This window comes from Homo sapiens, chromosome 10 (genome assembly GCF_000001405.40).
Source record: "Homo sapiens chromosome 10, GRCh38.p14 Primary Assembly".
Taxonomy (NCBI): Eukaryota; Metazoa; Chordata; class Mammalia; order Primates; family Hominidae; genus Homo; species Homo sapiens.
The window spans coordinates 63,643,348-63,662,079 of record NC_000010.11 but is presented as its reverse complement, the minus strand read 5'-3'; the positions used below and the strand labels follow the sequence as shown (position 1 = coordinate 63,662,079).

General features: G+C 40.9%; 2 long non-coding RNA genes across 2 annotated transcripts in view; one reads left to right on the top strand and one right to left on the bottom strand.

Annotated features, from left to right (window-relative positions):
• LOC107984238 (uncharacterized) overlaps positions 1-16,755 on the top strand; it is a 55,035-nt gene extending 38,280 nt beyond the window's left edge. The window contains exon 3 of the long non-coding RNA XR_001747468.2: positions 16,690-16,755. This is a non-coding gene — a long non-coding RNA (uncharacterized LOC107984238). The remainder of the gene's footprint in view (positions 1-16,689) is intronic.
• Positions 7,385-11,148, bottom strand: LOC101929846 (uncharacterized). The gene is made up of 3 exons (XR_946008.3): positions 11,056-11,148; positions 8,291-8,421; positions 7,385-7,576 (listed from the first exon to the last, which is right to left on the bottom strand). It is a non-coding gene; the product is annotated as an uncharacterized LOC101929846 (long non-coding RNA).
• Positions 16,756-18,732: the final 1,977 nt, after the last annotated feature.

The window sequence follows — 18,732 nt, the reverse complement described above, 5'->3', positions numbered from 1 at the left end:
AATTTTTTGATATTTATTTGTACTTACATTCTTTCAAAGTTTGGGCTTCATTAGCAAAATTATTTTTTTATTTTTATTTTATTTTATTTTATTTTTGAGACAAAGTCTCATTCTGTTGCCCAGGCTGGAGTGCAGCGGTGCGATCTTGGCTCACTGCAACCTCCACCTCCTGGATTCAAGTGACTCTCCTGCCTCAGCCTCCCAAGTAGCTGGGATTGCAGGCATGCGCCACCATGTCCAGCTAATTTTGTATTTTTAGTAGAGACAGGGTTTGTCCATGTTGGTCAGGCTGGTCTCGAACTCCCAACCTCAGGTGATCTGCCCGTCTCAGCCTCCCAAAGTGCTGGGATTACAGGCATGAGCCACTGTGCCCGGCATGCCCAGCTATTATTTGTAATTTTTTTTTATTTTTTATTTATTTATTAGTAGAGATGGGGTTTCACCATATTGGCCAGGCTGGTCTCGAAATCCTGACCTCATGATCCGCCTGCATCAGCCTCCCAAAGTGCTGGCATTACAGGTGTGAGTCACCACGCCCGGCCTCTTCTTGATGTTTTAATCCTTCCTGAGTTTGGTCAGCTCACTCTTAAGTTATTCTAATTCTAATCTGTGTAATTATTTCACATATTTTAATTTTTTCCTGAATTTAAAAAGTCATTTTGAAATATTCACTCACCTCTTTTACCTGCTTTGTGGGCATGTTTATTTGGTGTGCTCTCATCTGTAAGAAAATTACTTTGTTCCTCATTATCTTTTTATGATAAAAAGTTTGTACAGAATTCAAATCTATGTTTTTCTGTTGCTGATTTTTAGGTGAAGGCAGACTGAACTTTTAGGAAGGAAGGGTGGGTCAGAATAGCTTTTCTACCTCATGACTCTAGAGCAGTGTTAGCAAACCATGGCTCATGGACTAAATTCAGCTCATCATCTGCTTTTCTAAGTCTTATTGAAATACAATCCTGAGGGCCGGGCGTGGTGGGTCACGCCTGTAATTCCAGCACTTTGGGAGGCTGATGCGGGTGGATGACCTGAGGTCAGGAGTTCAAGACCAGCCTGGCCAACGTGGTGAAACCCCGTCTCTACAAAAATACAAAAACTAGCCAGGCGTGGTGGCACACGCCTGTAATCCCAGCTACTCAGGAGGCTGAGGCAGGAGAATTGTTTGGACTCAGGAGACAGAGGTTGCAGTAAGCCAAGATCACGCCACTACACTTCAGCCTAGGAGACAGAGCAAGACTCCGTCTCAAAGAAAAAAAAAAAAAAGAAATATAGTCGTGATTATTTGTTTACATATTATCTGTGGCCACTTTTATGATAAAATGGGAGAGTTGAGTCATTGTGACAAAGACCATGTAGGTCTCAAAGCTTAAAATACTTACTATGTGATCTCTGCTCTCTCTTCTTTGCTCACAATTTTGACTTCTTATCTCCTGGCTCTGTTCTTCTCCCTCACTTCTATCTGAATCTTTTTCCTTTGCCCCTCCCTGGGCTGTCTGTCCTGCTCAGTTTGGTCTACTCCCAGCAGTTCTTCCTCAATATGGAACTTTGTCTTGAAAGGAAGCTTCTGCTGGTTAATTTCTTTCTTTCTTTTTTTTTTTTTTTTTTGTTGTTGTTGTTCGTTTGTTTGTTTATTTTTTGAGACAGAGTCTCACTTTGTCGCCCAGGCTGGAGTACAGTGGCATGATCTCGGCTCACTGCAACCTCCATCTCCTGGGTTCAAGTGATTCTCTTGCTTCAGCCTCCCAAGTAGCTGGGATTACAGGTGCCCACCACCATACCCGGCTAGTTTTTGTATTTTTAGTAGAGGCAAGGTTTCACCATGTTGTCCAGGCTGGTCTTGAACTCCTGACCCCAAATGATCCGCCCACCTCGGCCTCCCAAAGTCCTAGGATTACAGGCCTGAACCACCACGCCGGGCCCTGCTGGTCAATTTCAAGAGTTCACAAGGCCAAGACTACTCCATCCCTTTCAGAACTTATCACTGTATTGTCCTTCTACTTACCCACAAATTGGAGTTTGTACAAACTCCTCTCAGGTTAAGCTGCTTTTCTCAAGTTGGCCAACTATGCTTTCCAGTGAGTATCTCTCTATCTAATGGTCATTTTGAGATTCTACTTTGCTTGGATCTGTCAGATGCCCAGTGCTTCCCATGTAAATGCTGATACTATACAGGTCTTATTACTGGTATTTTGTCCCTATCTGCTTATACTTCGGGGTTGATGGCAGTACTTTTTCACTTCGCTTGTTTTGAGTTTGTCAATAGGCTTTGGCTTAGCTATCCTAGTTTTATTTTTATGGGAGAGGGGTGTGGTTATGGGGCATTTAAGAACTAAAGAACTATTTCACTACTACTACCATCTTGCCAGAATTCCTAAGATTTGTATTTTAAACCCAGATGAAGTACTAACTAGCTGAAACCTAGATGAAAAGCTATGCAGGGAATGAATTAGATTGTCAATAATCTCTCCCAGCTCTAAAACATTATGATTCTAATTTTCACTCTTGCCAGTAACCAGTCTGTTCATCCCAGAAACTAGCATTTATTGAGCTTCTATTTTTTGCCAGTGCTGGGTTTAGGTTTTTGTTAATATAATGATGAACAATTCATATGCCTTGTTCTCAAGGAGTTCACAGTCCAGTGGAGGAAATAGATGTACACAGACAATTATAATGCAACATAATTTTGTGTGGTAGAGAGTAATGAAACATTTGTATGGGCATCTAGAGGTGAAAGTATCAAACTCTGCTTTATGGAGTATGACAAAGGCTTTGGAAAGGAGACAGTGCTTGAGATGAGTGCTGAAGGATAAAGGTCACCAAGTAGAGGAAATTGGCCTTTATTACCTTTTAAAAAGTATACAATAAATATATGTGCATAATTTTAGAAAAGCAGGAAAATGTATGCTATTAAAAAAGAAATATAGGCTGGGCACAGTGGCTCATGTCTGTAATCCCAGCACTTTGGGAGGCCAAGGCAGGCAGATCACGAGGTCAAGAGATCAAGACCATCCTGGCCAACATGGTGAAACCTCATATCTACCAAAAATACAAAAATTAGCCAGGTGTGGTGGTGCACACCAGTAGTCCCAGCTACTCGGGAGGCTGAGGCAAGAGAATCGCTTGAACCCAGGAGGCAGAGGTTGTAGTGAGCCGAGATCATGCCACTGCACTCCAGCCTGGGTGAAAGAGCGAAACTCCATCTCAAAAAAAAAAAAAAAGAAATATAAAGTAAATCTGATCCATGAAACAAAAACAGTTCTGTGAATGAATATATTTAGAAGTCTTTAGATTAGGAATATAGCACAAGACTTGTGTATCTATTCATTATAAAAGATCAGGTTCAGTCCCTCTGAATATGGGAAGGATAATCACATTATCTTACCAGCCATAGGTAGATGAGTATGGATTCAGTACGGTATATTACAATAAGTGAATTCAACAAAATCAGCAATGGCCATTGCCATCATAACTTCCAATGTGGAGGTCTCCTCCTCAGCCTTTTCGGACCTCCCTTAACCTTCAGTGAAGACTTTTCACATAGAACAAAAGTACCCTCATAGTTTTAGAAATGGTTTTTCACTCTCCTGCTTTTCAGCAGCTTTCTCATCAAAGGCTACTTCAGATTGAAGTGGAGAATAAAAGTGACCACCAAAAAGACCATCGGATTACATAAGTGCCCTCTTTCAGCAGGATCCTGACCTATGAGGAGTCTTTTCTTTTGCTGTCTCTCATGACAGCACTTTGAAATCCAGGAACCAGGTCTCAACACAGGCAAATAAAAATGAAATGATGGGAGCACAGAGCCAAAAAGATACACAGTATATCTACATAAGAGGAGGAATGGTTGGAGGACACCACCTCTTCTCTAAAGAGAGCATGTGTCTATTTACATTTAATTCTATTATCCACAGTAGGGTTACAAATAAGAGGCCAAAGGTGATAAACAAGCAGAAAGACCTTAAGCAACACTGGCTACACCTGGCTTTTTCTTTCCTTGCTGCTGCTCGAGTGCTGCAGCTCCCAGAGGGAGGGTTCTCCATGTGTTCTGGCAGGCAGTTCACACCAGATGGAGGGTTAGGGGAGCCTTTTCCCTGGTCCTCATTCCCTAGATGGTTCTCAGATTGACCTCTATCAGTGGCGCCATGGCCAATGACTGCACTCTGACCAGAGAGTGGGCCTTCTTGGGCAGCAGGATGGGCCCAAATAAGCCTTTCGAATATATCAGGTGCAATGAACTGCAGGCCCATTTGTGAATTATATAATAATGTTCTTTCCTCTCGTGCCTGAGATCAGATGGTTAAGTAAATAAATAAGTTACAACCATGTCTGTTTTCCAATGTTATGACTGTGGAATTTCAGATGATTCCTTTAATCAGCCATCCAAACAGCTGAGTCTCCTTTGTGTCCTGATCTAGAAGTGGATCTCATTCACCATGGCTTTCAAAGTCCTCTGGTGATAGGAGAGTTTCCATATCATTGAATATAAATTTAAGTTTTACTGCTGAATTTCCTGGAGATTAATTAATGAAAATCTCTGGGTCCCATTTCACTGTGGAGGTAACTTCTGACATTTAGGAACTGAAGAATTTGGGAGAAAAAACGTAAAGTTATGTCATTGTTTTACTTTTAAAATAAAGATTTCAAAATAAACCAACGTAGAATTCAAAAGGGAGCTTCAAAACTCAAACCCTCAACCCACACCTTTTTTGTTTGTTTGTTTTTTGAGACAGAGTCTTGCTCCATCACCCAGGCTGGAGTGCAGTAGTGCGATCTCAGCTCACTGCAACCCCCACCTCCCGGGTTCAAGCGATTCTCCTGTCTCAGCCTCCCGAGTAGTTGGGACTACAGGCACCTGCCACCATGCCCAGCTAATTTTTGTATTTTTAGTAGAGATGGGTTTCACCTTGTTAGTCTGGCTGGTCTTGAACTCCTGACCTCAGGTGATCCACCCACCTCAGCCTCCCAAAGTGCTGGGATTACCCCAACTTTTTTTCAGACTGCCAGATGCTCCTTATCTTCCTTTCACATTACAAATATCTAGTACTCAGGGAACCATTCTACTTCTATAATTATTAAGGACTCAGAGATTAATATAGCCATTAAACAAACTATAATGGCTGACTTGAAATTGTTATTGAACAAGAAGTATTTTGAACCTAACTTGTACTATTAGAATAAGGAAGTATTGTTTGGGATTAATAATTGATGGTACATTAGACTCCTGTATTACTGAGTTAGTTGACTTTTGAGAAGGCAGTTGAGCAGTTATCAGAGATCATAATGCAATAAACAATGATCTATTCTAGATGACCAGTTATTAGGCTGGAGCAAAAGTACTTGCAGTATATAACTATAATATAAACTTCAGCTACATATTAAAATAATGGGAGAGAGGGGCATTTTAAAAATATTGATGTCCAGTCCCCACTCCTGAGATTCTGATAAAATTGGTTTATTGCTCCAAGACCATTTTTTTGTTTGTCTGTTTTGAGACAGAGTCTTGCTCTGTCGCCCAGGCTGGAGTACAGTGGAACAATCTCAGCTCACTGCAGCCTCCGCCTCCTGGGTTCAAGCAATTCTCCCACCTCAGCCTCCCAAGTAGCTGGGATTACAGGCACACGCCACCAAGCCCATTTAATTTTTGTATTTTTAGTAGAGATGGGCTTTCACCATGTTAGCCAGGCTGGTCTCGAGCTCCTGGCCTCAAGTGATCCACCAGCCTCAGCCTCCCAAAGTGCTGGGATTACAGGCATAAGCCACTGTGCCTGGCCAAAGACCGTATTTTTTCAAAATTACCCCCACTCACCCCCACCATCCCCATCCAGGTGTTTCTAATGTGCAGTCGAATTAAAAATTCCCGTCTTAGTCTGTTTGGGTTACTATTATAAAGTACTGTAAATGGAGTGGTTTATAAACAATAGAAATTTATTTCTCATAGTCTAGAGGCTGGGAAGCCTTAGATGAAGGAGCTGGTAGATTCTGTGCCTGGGGAGGGCCTGCTTGGTTTATAGATGGCCATCTTTTGCTGAGTCCTCACATGGTGGAAGGAGCAAGGGAGCTCTGTGGGGTGTCTTATAAAGGCACAAATCCCATTCATGAGGGCCCTGCTCTCATGTCCCAATTTCCTCCCAAGGCCCCACCTCCTAATGCCATCACCTTGGGGGTTAAATTTTGGATGGACACAAAAATTCAGGCCATAGCACTGTTTATCTAGATTAGTTCTTTTTTATGATAATTTATTCTAAATCACTATTCTCTGGCTTTCATAATTTAGAAAATAAAAATTACAAAGCAATCACAAAATAGCACTGATACAGTGATTACAACAAATTTTAAAAATATATGTGTAGAGACAAGGTACAGATGAACCACTAGATAACTTTTTAATTTTTCTGTAAAGTTGTTTATAAGAGCCTTGGAATAAAATAATAAAATTTTTATATGGATACCTAATTGAGAATAGAAGTTAAGTAATTTCCAGGTTTCCCCTCATTCATGATAGGTTCTGGTTAGAACTCATGTTTCCAGATTCTTGTCTTAACATTCTTTTAAATATTACCTTGATTTTATTTTTTTTAAATGTAAAGGTAACTCTTCAAAAATAATTTAAAAAGCCACTGCCAATTATTATAAACTTTAATAAACATTAGAGGCAGTTTATAGTATATTTGTCAAGACCATGGACTCTGGAATTAGATAAATTACCATATAAGCCTGACTTAAACATTTACTACCCATGGGACCTTAACTTCTCTGAACCTCAACTTCTTCATCAGGAAAATAAGGATATTATAATATGTATTAGTCCATTCTCAAACTGCTATGAAGAAATACCAGAGACTAGGTTATTTATTTATTTATTTATTTATTTATTTATTTATTTTTGAGATGGAGTCTTGCTCTGTCGCCCAGACTGGAGTACAGTGGCGTGACCTTGGCCCACTGCAACCTCCACCTCCCTGGTTCAAGCAATTCCCCTGCCTCAGCCTCCCAAGTATCTGGCATTACAGGCACACGCCATCATGCCTGGCTAATTCTGTATTTTTAGTAGAGACGGGATTTCACCATGTTAGCCAGACTGGTCTCGAACTCCTGACCTCAGGCAATCCGCCCACCTCAGCCTCCCCAAGTGCTGGGATTACAGGCGTGAGCCACTGTGCCTGGCCTGAGACTGGGTAATTTATAAAGGAAAGAGGTTTCATTGACTCACAGTTCCGCATGGCTTGGGAGGCCTCCAGAAACTTACAATCAGGGCAGAAGGGGAAGCAAACACATCCTTCTTCACATGGTGGCAGGAGAGAGAAGTGCAGAGCAAAGCGGGGAAAAACCACTTATAAAACCATTCAGATCTCATGAGAACTCACTCACTATCATGAGAACAGCATGGGGGAACCACTTCCATAATTTATTTACCTCCCATGAGGTCTCACCCATGACATACGGGGATTATGGGAACTACAATTCAAGATGAGATTTGGGTGGGCGCACAGCCAAACCATATCATAATATAAGACCATCAGGTAGAAAAAGGGATGAAAGCAATTTCTCTTCTGCTCACATGGCATTGTTTCCAACCCTAAGAAGTAAAGAAAAGGAAGGTGAAGCCAGACTTCTCTGTTAAATGTGTTAATAAACAAACAATAAAATTATTTAACACGGCCCATTCACTACATTAGTTCTTCTATATACATTTCAATGGCTGGCGTGCTATGGTAGGAAAAGAGACTATACTGAATTATTTAGAGCAATGCCTAGCATAGACTATGCACTCAGCAATATCTTATTGGTTGTAATTATCATGCATTACTTAGTGTTTCTCAACGAAGAAGATGGGAATTTTTGTCTTTTGGGTTAAGAAAATTGTGTTTGCATCCTAAAGAATTTATATTACCTAAAATAGTCTTCCATAAAGTCCAAACCACTTCATAAGTATATAGTTAGTAATATTATCAATCAGTTAGGCAGTTGGCATATATGTTTGCAAAATTGCAAAGGAAGAAGACAACATCCTTATTCCTGTAAAACCTATAACTTAGTGAAGCAGGGGAAGGAAAACAAGCTCTGCCAGCCAAGTTCAGCTTCAGGCTGATCAGCTTATTGAGCTGATGTCATATTGGGCGCTAACCTCCCCTATGTTATTCATTCAATTCCTCAGACATGAGCTAGGGGAGCATTGAGGGAATTAGGAAAAACAGCATCTGCAGGTTTGACACATCACATCCATTTATACTGTATTTCTGGTGAAGGGGGATCAATTCTACCAAGAAAAGAGACATATTGATGTCCTTACCTGTCAAATAAGCTGACTTTCTGCCAAATGGATGTGATCATAAGCCAAGGGTGAGCCTCCCAATCAGGAAACCAGTAAAGGACAAGATGACCCCAAATTCACTTTATGGGTCTTGTGTTTGATTAACAACACTGTTAGAGATTTAAAAAAAAAAAAGATTGTAATAAGACGATGTCATCTACTTAAGAGGAAAAAGCTACACTGCAGCATAACTGTAAGTAATTACAGTTGACAAAACAGATATTCCAGCCCTAAAAAAGAAAATGTATCATCTTCATTCTTTTCCTCAATTACCTTTAGCAATCAAAGTTTGAAGCCATTCTATGTTATTTCTGTGAAAAATTCCTGTGAATTGTAATTGTCCATAACTTCACATGAGGCAAGTAAAACTTTCAAGTAAAAAAAATGACTTTACTATATTAATTAATTCATTCAACAAATATTTATTTTAAGGCTACTGAGTGCTAGGCACTGTGCTATGGAAAATAAGGCAGGGTCTCTGCCCTCACAGACATACAACCCAGTAGGAAAAAAGAGACAGTAAACAAGTTAAGAAAAAACAAACAAACAAAAAAAACCCAAGAAAATCACCGAGATGATTAATGAAGTACCAGGAAGGAATTAAACATACAACTTTGAGAGAGAATAATAGGCCACCTGCTTTAGATGGGATGAGGGGGCTCCAGGAATTGGTGTAGGGGCGGATCACAAAAGTCCTTGCTAAAATTATTTATCCTAATGGCAGAAATCAGAGATGTTCCAGCAGAAGAGGCCACATTCTGGGGTGTGTGTGTGTGTGTGTGTGTGTGTGTGTGTGTAGTTGATTTTATGTTTAAGGAAAATCGAGGTTTCCTACAATATGTGAAAAAATATCTGAGAGATTGAAATTGACTCAGGTGTAAATAAGATTTTCCTTCTTGCTTGATTTAATTGTTAACTATTTGTGGAATCTAAAAGTTAGGCAGATGCTGGACTAGTGAAGGGAAACTAGAGATGTAGCACCGAGGCTGCCAATAGAATAATCTAGGAAAAAGACATTAAGTATCTTAAGACTTTTTCTAGACTGGCCTGGAAACTTAGGTCTAAACTGAGGTGACTTCTTGAGAATCTGGCCCCTTGTTGAGAAGACACTCCACAGCTGTAAGCCTCATAAAGCCACTTACTTCTTCCAGGATCTTTCATTATTGGCATGGAAGGATATAGAGTCACAGAAAAATGTAATATTGGGTTTAGAAAGAAACCTAGAACAGTGTTTTTAAAACACAAAACCACCCTGAGATTTTGTTAGAAATGTAGATTTTGATTCAGGTGGAACCAGAAATTCTGTACTTCTAACAAGCTCCCAGGTGAAACCCTATAATACTCTGAGGAGTAAAACAGGACATTGTGTTCAGGCTCTTCTTTGCCTCTTCCCTACCATCATCCAAACCTCTGTCTTCTAGACTAAGCTCCATGAATTTGTATCCCCTTGTAAATCACACCACGGAATGCCCCATTGTATCAACTATATATTGAGGATATAGTTGGTGCTCAATACACTTCTGATGAATAGGTCAATGAATAGGTGAGTAGATGAATGAACATCCCTAACAAATATCTATCTGCCTCTGACAAAAACCTCCTGACCTCAGGATTATCAACCAAGGAAGTATTTTTTGGACAGCTCTGACCATCAGAAATTTACACTGAGCCAGCATCTGTCTGTGATTCAAATCATCAGTCCTAGATCTGCCGTCTGGGGAAACAGATGGCAGTATTCTTTTTTTTTTTTTTTTTTTTTTGAGACAGGATCTTGCTCTGTCACCCAGGCTGGAGTTCAGTGGCACAAACACGGCTCGCTGCAGCCTCAACCTCTTGGGCTCAAGCAACCCTCGTGCCTCAGCCGCCAAAGTAGCTGAGACTACAGGCATGCCCACAATGCCTGGCTCATTTTTAAAAATTTTTGTAGGCCAGGTGCAGTGGCTTACACCTGTAATCCCAGCACTTGGGAGGCCAAGGCAGGTGGATCACCTGAGGTCGGGAGTTCAAGACCAGCCTGACCAACATGGAGAAACCCCATCTCTACTAAAGAATACAAAAATTGGCTGGGCGTGGTGGCAGGCGTCTGTAGTCCCAGCTACTCGGGAGGCTGAGGCAGGAGAATGGCGTGAACCCGGGAGGCGGAGCTTGCAGTGAGCCGAGATCGTGCCACTGCACTCCAGCCTGGGCGACAGAGCAAGACTCCGTCTCAAAAAATAAATAAATAAATAAAAATAAATAATTTGTAGAGACAGGGTCTCACTGTGTTGCCCAGGCTGGAGCAGCCTTCATTATTGACACAATCAGGACCGGGAGTTGCTCAATTACCAAAAATAATTCACTTAAAGTAAAGGGTCATGTTTTAAAATGGCATATACATCCAACATTTTATCTTAAATCAATGCACCAATCTGTGTAGATGTGTTCATCCAACATTTTATCTTTAACTTAAATCAATTCACTAATCTGTATAGATGCAAGGTTGGGAACATGAGTTCTTTGATAAATTTTATCAGTTTATATTGTCTGTCAGCATAAACCACACCTCTAATAACATATCACACACACATGAACTGATGCTGGAATGGGAAAAAGGTGCACCAGTGGGAAGAAATAAAAACTGGTTTGGGCCAGTCTGTGAGCAAAGGCACTGTGTTGTCTAAAGCAGAGCAAAAGCTACAGAGAGCAAGAAGACCTGGAAGTGTGGCCACTGAGCCACTTTACTTACATTAAGTCAAGTTCATTACCTGCATTAGTTGATGAAAGTACTCACATTGTTTTCAGACTGTCTTACCCATATCATAAAAAAAATAAAAAAAATAAAAAAAATAAAAAAAATCCCGGCCAGGCGTGGTGGCTCACGCCTGTAATCCCAGCACTTTGGGAGGCCAAGGCAGGCAGATCACGATGTCAACAGATAAAGACCATCCTGGCCAACATGGTGAAACCCTGTCTCTACTAAAAATACAAAAATTATCCGGGCTTGGTGGCGTGCACCTGTAGTCCCAGCTACTCGGAGGCTGAGGCAGGAGAATTGCTTGAACTCGGGAGGCGGAGGTTGCCGTGAGCCGAGATCACACCACTGCAGTCCAACCTAGTGACAGAGTGAGATTCCATCTAAAAAAAACAAAAAACAAAAAACAAACAAACAAACAAAAAACAAACCAAAAAAACAGGCCAATATAAAGTATATGGTTGTTGGCTTTCCTGTCATTTAATAAGACACTCTAAGATTTATCAATTCACAGAATGCTCGGACTCCTTTGATTTTCATTTTGAGAATACTTTTCATCTTTGTCCAATAAATTATCATTTAGTATATACATTTCATATATTCTTTAATAAATTAATCTGTCCTAAAAAGTCACTTTTCCATGATCCATGATTTTTAGATCGTTTCCCCTCTATAATTCTATTCCAAAGAGTTCCTCTATTAATGCTCAATTTAAAATGTAAAGGCAAAAAGGATATTTTCAAGTATATATTTATTCTTAAAATGTAGTAAAATATTTTATTTAACAGGTAGCACCTATCCCAAAACACACATCCTTTCACAAAGGTTTTAAAAATGTTTTATGTTTGTGCATTCACAGGGTGCACTCACATTCATTATCTCTCTTAAGTCTCAAAGCAACTATGGGAGGTCAGTGGTGTCTTTTCCATTTTGAAGACAAAAGGAAACTCAGAGATAGTCAGGGACTTGTAGTATATATAGGTTACCCAGTGGGAAAGTGGCGGAACTAGGGCTAGAAGAAACCTAGCCCTTTGATTCTTTGGTCCTTCCTTTAAATCTCACAATAGTTTCATTTAAGGTCAAGAACAGTAAATGGGGTTTCTACCATTTTACCCCATGGCTCTGTGATGCCCAAACCTATTTAAACAATATTATTATTTGAGTTAAAGATGCCCTTCCTCCTTCCAAGAGTGTGTTAAAGGCTCCAAGATTAAAGTGAAATCAAATTAATTGGAAGGCCTCTTTTTTCATATTTACTTATTTATTAATTAATTAACTAATTTTTTGAGACAGAGTCTCGCTATGGTGGCCAAGTTGGTCTTGAACTCCTGGCCTCAAGCAATCCTACCACCTCAGCCTCCCAAAGTGCTAAGATTACAGGTGTGAGCCACTGTGTCCAGCCTAGGTTTCTTTTTAAAATCTTGTTAGCTTGTTTTGGGATTTCATAACATATCTGGAAGTAGTTCTAGACAACATCACAGAGTCTTTTGAAACTGGCATAGCTGGATGCAGTGGCTCATGCCTGTAATCCCGACACTTTGGGAGGGTGGGGCAGGAGTATTGGTGAATGTGAAGGTACACCTATGGGGGTGCATCTTATCAAAGGATCTGAGTGTGTGCTGAGAGGTCTACATGCTCAATATATGTGACCCTTCAGCCCCAAATTCTAACTCTAATCTCTATCTTCAGTTTGATGGCTAATAGGTATCCTAAATATGTTGTGTCTAAAACATAACTCTAATATCCACCTCTCTAATACTCAAAGTCTGTTCCTTTCACTTTTTTTTTTTTTTTTTTTTTTTTTTTTTGAGATGGAGTTTCACTCTTAGTTGCCCAGACTGGAGTGCAATGGCGCGACCTCGGCTCATGGCAACCTCTGCCCCCTAGGTTCAAGCAATTCACCTGCCTCAGCCTCCCGGGAAGCTGGGATTACAGGCAAGCGCCACCAGGCCCGGCTAATTTTGTGTTTTTAATAGAGACAGAGTTTCTCCATGTTGGTCAGGCTGGTCCCAAACTCCCGACTTCAGGTGATCTGCCCGCCTCGGCCCCCCAAAGTGCTGGAATTACAGGCATGAGCCACCACACCCGGCCTCCTCTCCACTCGCTACTCACCTAGCAGCTTAGGCATATAGCCTAAAGAATGTCCTTGATTCCTTCTTTTCCTCAACCCCTAGATCTAATTCATCAAAACTTTTTTTTTTTTTTTTTGAGACAGACTCTTGCTCTGTCACCCAGGCTGGAGTGCAGTGGCATGATCTCAGCTCACTGCAACCTCCTCCTCCCTGGTTCAAGCGATTCTCCTCCCTCAGCCTCCTGAGCAGCTGGGAATACAGGCATGCACCACCATGCCCCACTAATTTTTTTTTTTTTTTTTTTTTTTTTTTTTTTTTTTTTTTTTTTGTAGAGATGGGGATTCACCATATTGGCCAGGGCTGGTCTCAAACTCCTGACCTTGTGATCCACCCTCCTTAGCCTCCCAAAATGCTGGGACTACAGGCGCGTGGCACCACACCTGGCTCATTTTTTGTATTTTTAGTAGAGATGGGGTTTCACTGTGTTAGCCAGGATGATCTTGATCTCCTGATCTTGTGATCTGCCCACCTCAGCCTCCCAAAGTGCCAGGATTACAGGCATGAGCCACCACGCCCAGCCTTCATCAGAACATTTTATCCATACTACTCCAAACTCTATCCCAAGTTCTTGCACTCTTCTCCATCTCTACCACCATTATCACCACCATTACCACCGCCATGCTAATCTAGGCCACTATAATCTCTACCTGAATGATGCAAAAGTCTGCTAACTGGGGTCCTCATTTAGAAATGAACTACCCCTGGATAGCTGGGTGTGGTGGCTCATGCCTGTAATCCCAGCACTTTGGGAGGCCGAATCACCTGAGGTCGGGAGTTCGAGACCAGCCTGACCAGCATGGAGAAACCCTGTCTCTACTAAAAATACAAAATTAGCCGGGCATGGTGGCACATGCCTGTAATCCCAGCTACTCTGGAGGCTGAGGCAGGAAAATCACTTGAACCCAGGAGGGAGAGGTTGCAGTGAGCTGAGATCATGCCATTACACTCCAGCCTGGGCAACAAGAGCAAAACTCCGTCTCAAAAAAGAAAGAAAGAAAGAAGAAAGGAAGGAAGGAAAGAAATGAACTGCCCCTGGATATATCTACCCAAAGGAAAATAAGTCATTATATGAAAAAGATACTTGCACATGCATGTTTATAGAAGAACAATTCGCAGTTGTAAAAATGTGGAACCAACCCAAATGCCCATCAATAAATGAGTGGACAAAGAAACTGTGGTATATATACACAATAGAATACTATTCAGCCATAAAAAGGAATGAATTAATGGCATTTGCAGCAACCTGGATGGAATTGGAGACTACTAACCTAAGTGAAGTAACTCAGGAATGGAAAACCAAACATCGTATGTTCTCACTCATAGGAGGGAGCTAAGCCATGAAGATGCAAAGGCATAAGAATAACACAACAGACTTTGGGGACTCAGGGGGAAAGGGTGAGAAGGGAGTGAGGGATAAAAGACTACAAATCGGGTTCAGCGTATACTGCTCAGGTGATGGGTGCACCAAAATCTTGCAAATCACCACTAAATAACTTACTAATGGAACCAATTACCACCTGTTCCCCAAAAACCTATGGAAAAAAAAATTTTTTTTTAATGAACTACCCTTGGAGTTCTCTTCATTCAATTTTCCATTCAACAGGCAGTTCAGTATCCCAGGAAGCCAGCAGACAGTACCATGTCACTGAACACCTGAGGTGTGGGTATTGGAGAGAATTCACCTCCTTCCCAGTTTGAACCAAAGAACCCTAAGCAGAATGCCACCAACGTCTACATCATCTTTTTACTTGTACTGTCATGTGGACTTGTAAATGGGCATCTAGATATATTGTGTTTAGTTGTGATCACTTGTAATGCAAATCTGTGATCTTGAAAAATTGAAGTATATTTAATTATAGTTTACATATTACATATTCATAATAATTTTTATTGCCCTACAGTTAGCAGTGTATATAGTGAGAAGACATATGTGGATACATTTTGCAGGGCATCAACCTTTTAAAGAAGTCAAACCTCAATTCCCTAGGTGATAGAAACCATTGGTGGGGTGAGGGCTAAGGGTGGAATCAATCCGTAGTATGCATGACAAATAAAGAAGCCACATAAAAATAATAATAAATGTACATCTTTAGTCAAACATAAATGGTGTATTCTTTTTTTAAAAGACTAAGGGTCTTATCAGTTTATGCTTATTACTTTGAGAGGTGTAGGACCAGGTCATCTTGACCATGAAGAAAGTTGTATGAGTCATGAAAAGTTCACCAAGTATGTCCATGTTACAGAGGAAATGACATGTATAGTAAGTGAGAGAGGAACCTAAATGTTTCTGGCAAAATATAATTTTCTCAGGCCTTTCTTATTTCGATCTTTATTGGGCATTCCAAAAAAGTTACTGATGGTTGAATCTGGAAAGATTATGCATACAATTTGAGATTACATTTTTCTTACAAATAGGAATATGAGGAATATTCTTTATAAACAGAAAAGATCTGAAGCTAGGACATACTCTTTTGACTATATTAATAATGAAACTTCTCTGACGTTGAATAAATTTAAACCAAATTCACACTAAATGATTTATAGGATTGCTTTTACATTTTTCCCTCTGAATTTTGTATTTCCCACCTTGAGTGTCAAGAAAGGTCATTACAGTTGTTACTAAAGATGATCCAAATCAGAGAATGCTTCAGAGTTGCTGAATATGCTTTCCCCCTGCCCTCCCCACCCGCCGTTTGTAGGCTTCTATATTTATCCACTGACCTGGATAAAAAAATTTTACTGTAGTTTTTAAATAGTCCTTTAGGGCCAGACGTGGTATCTGATGTCTGTAATCCCAGCACTTTGGGAGGCTGAGGTGGGAGGATCGCTTGAGCCCAGGAGTTTGACATCAGCCTGGGCAACAAAGCGAGACCCTGTCTCTACAAAAAATAAAAAAAAAAATTAGCCAGGCTAAGTGACATGCATCTGTATTCCCAGCTACTCAGGAGGCTGAGGTGTGAGGATTACTTGAGCCCAGGAGTTCGAGGCTGCAGTGAGCTATGATTGCACCATTGCACTCTGGCCCAGGTGACAGAGTGAGACTTTGTCTAAGAAACCAAAAAAGATACACTCATAGCATGATGACTCTGGCAGAGTTGAGATATGAAGTAAGAGGGAAGAGTTTCTCCCACGAGTGCATGGGACATGGTATTTCCTATTTCTGGCTGCGCCTACTTGCCTTTAAATCACAGAACCATTTGGGAACATGGCTCAGGATTCCGAGAGTTGATCTGCCTGGTTTCAGAGGATGAAGAGGCACCCAGATGGACCATTCAGCCCTCTGCATGCTATGTAAATGTCCTCGGAGGGTTTGGATTTTCCATGTTGAGTCTCTCTTAGCTTCATGACATTTCTCCTCCTTCGGGGGAAGGCAGGGAGTGCTGTCAGATCTCTCTCACTGTACATACTTGATTCATGAACACTGAAATGAGTAAAATTCACACATCAGCCTACTCCTCCTCCTTCAAGTTAGTCCCTAATGATCCTCATCTCCTTGTATTTATCTCTTTGTGTAGTCTCCTCCTTCAATGAATCAGGGCTGAGAGCTGCTCTGAACTACCAATAGAGTTACCAATGGGTAGCTTCTAAGGCTAGCCCATAAGGGCATTGCAGCTTCCATCTTGTCTTGGATTGCTCACCCTGGGTGAAGCCAGTTGCGGTACTCTGGGGACACTCAAGCAGCCCTGGAGAATTCATGTGGAAAGGAACAGAGATCTTCCACCAACAGCCAGCACCATCCTAACAGCCAAGTGAGTGAGCCCCCTTGACCGTGGTTCCTCCAGCCTCAGTCAAGCATTCAAAAGGCTTCAGCTGACATCTGACTACAACCTCGCAAGAGACCCCCAACCACAACACCCATCCAAACTGCTCCATACTCCTGACCCAGAGAAACTGTGAAAGAGAATTATTATTGTTTTAAGTTTGGGGTGATTTGTCATGCAACAAAGATGACTAATTCATCCTTTGAAAAGATAGTGGCAGTGGTGGTGGTGTTATGAACAACAAATTGACTAGAGCTTTCTATTTTGTGATGTTAAAAGCATGGAATATAAATTTACTCATGAGTTTTCCATAAGAGAAACATCCAAACAACTAATCTGTAGATTCTCTTAAAACCCAAACTCTGTGCTAAGGACTCAATACAGCAGAAGTTGTGATGTTGGTAGAAAAAGAAAGCAAATACTTTAACTTTGTTAAATTATGATGTTTTAGGAACTCAGCCTGCATGACAAAGGAAAGGACAAAAGTATTTTGGACCTTTTGTTTTTATGTCACAAACAGTTCCAAAGTTCAGAGGAAGGAACTTCGGTGTTTCCTTTACACCAAAGCAGACTGAGCTGTGTTATTTTATTTATCTGAGAATAGGAAGTTACGTGATTATGAATTCTGAGTATCAGTCAGAATTATTCACAGCAAAAGCCTCTTAGGCTCTAACTGCTAATCCAAACTTTTCAGAAAGCAAGTTTTGTGTTCCCCACAAATCCCATGGAAACTTGTTCACCTTTCATAGGAAATTGAATTTAATAAAATCATTTATTAAGTCAAAAACATTTTCTGTGCAAGCACCCCCAAAACTTAAAATGTGACACTGTAGTGTACAAGCCTGACACTGCTGTTGTTAACAGTTGGAAGTCCTTCTTACTCCGTATCTAAATGGCAAAATACTGACCATCCTGTACCATTTTAATAAGTTTCAAGTTTATGTTGCATCTATTATCTCATTTGAGTCTTTTTTTTTTTTTTTTTGCGACAGAGTCTTGCTCTGTCACCCAGGCTGGAGTGCAGTGCTACAATCTCTGTCCCTCCAGGTTCAAGCAATTCTCTGCCTCAGCCTCAGGAGCAGCTGGGATTACAGGCGCCCGCCACCACGCCTGGCTAATTTTTTGTATTTTTAGTAGAGGCGGGGTTTCACCATCTTCGCCAGGCTGGTCTTGAACTCCTGACGTCGTGATTCCACCCGACTTGGCCTCCCAAAGTGCTGGGATTACAGGCGTGAGCCACCGCACCCGGCCATCTCATTTGAGTCTTAAAATCCCTCTGTAGGTGGGTGGCTCATCCCATTTTAACTGATAAGAAAACTGAGGCACAGAGGTTATTAGCAGCCTCATTTCCTTGAACAATTTACCAAGTTACTTTATTTCTTTGAATAGTAAGTGGGTTGCACTGTTTTCTGAGGTCTCTTCCAGTCCTAAAATTTATTTAATCCAAGCGATTTAGGCAACATCAACTCAGTGTGTGAGATACAAAAAGCACAGACGTGCAATTGGCAGATATGGATCTTACCTCCACCACTGGCTGGCCTTGAAGACCTGCAGAAATCATTTAAGCTTTTTGAATCTCAGTAGCCTTGTCTTTAAAAGAAAGTTATTAAGCTACACCTGATCAAATTATTTGGAAGGCCAAATGACATAAAATACATACATCAGGTATTTGATCTGGAACCTTGATCTAATTAGTTAATCTCCCTGAGCCCCGGGTCCCCGTGCATAAAATGCAATGACAGGCAGGAAGTTAACTTCACTTTTGGTAATGTACAGTGGATTCTGTGTTGTGTCCCC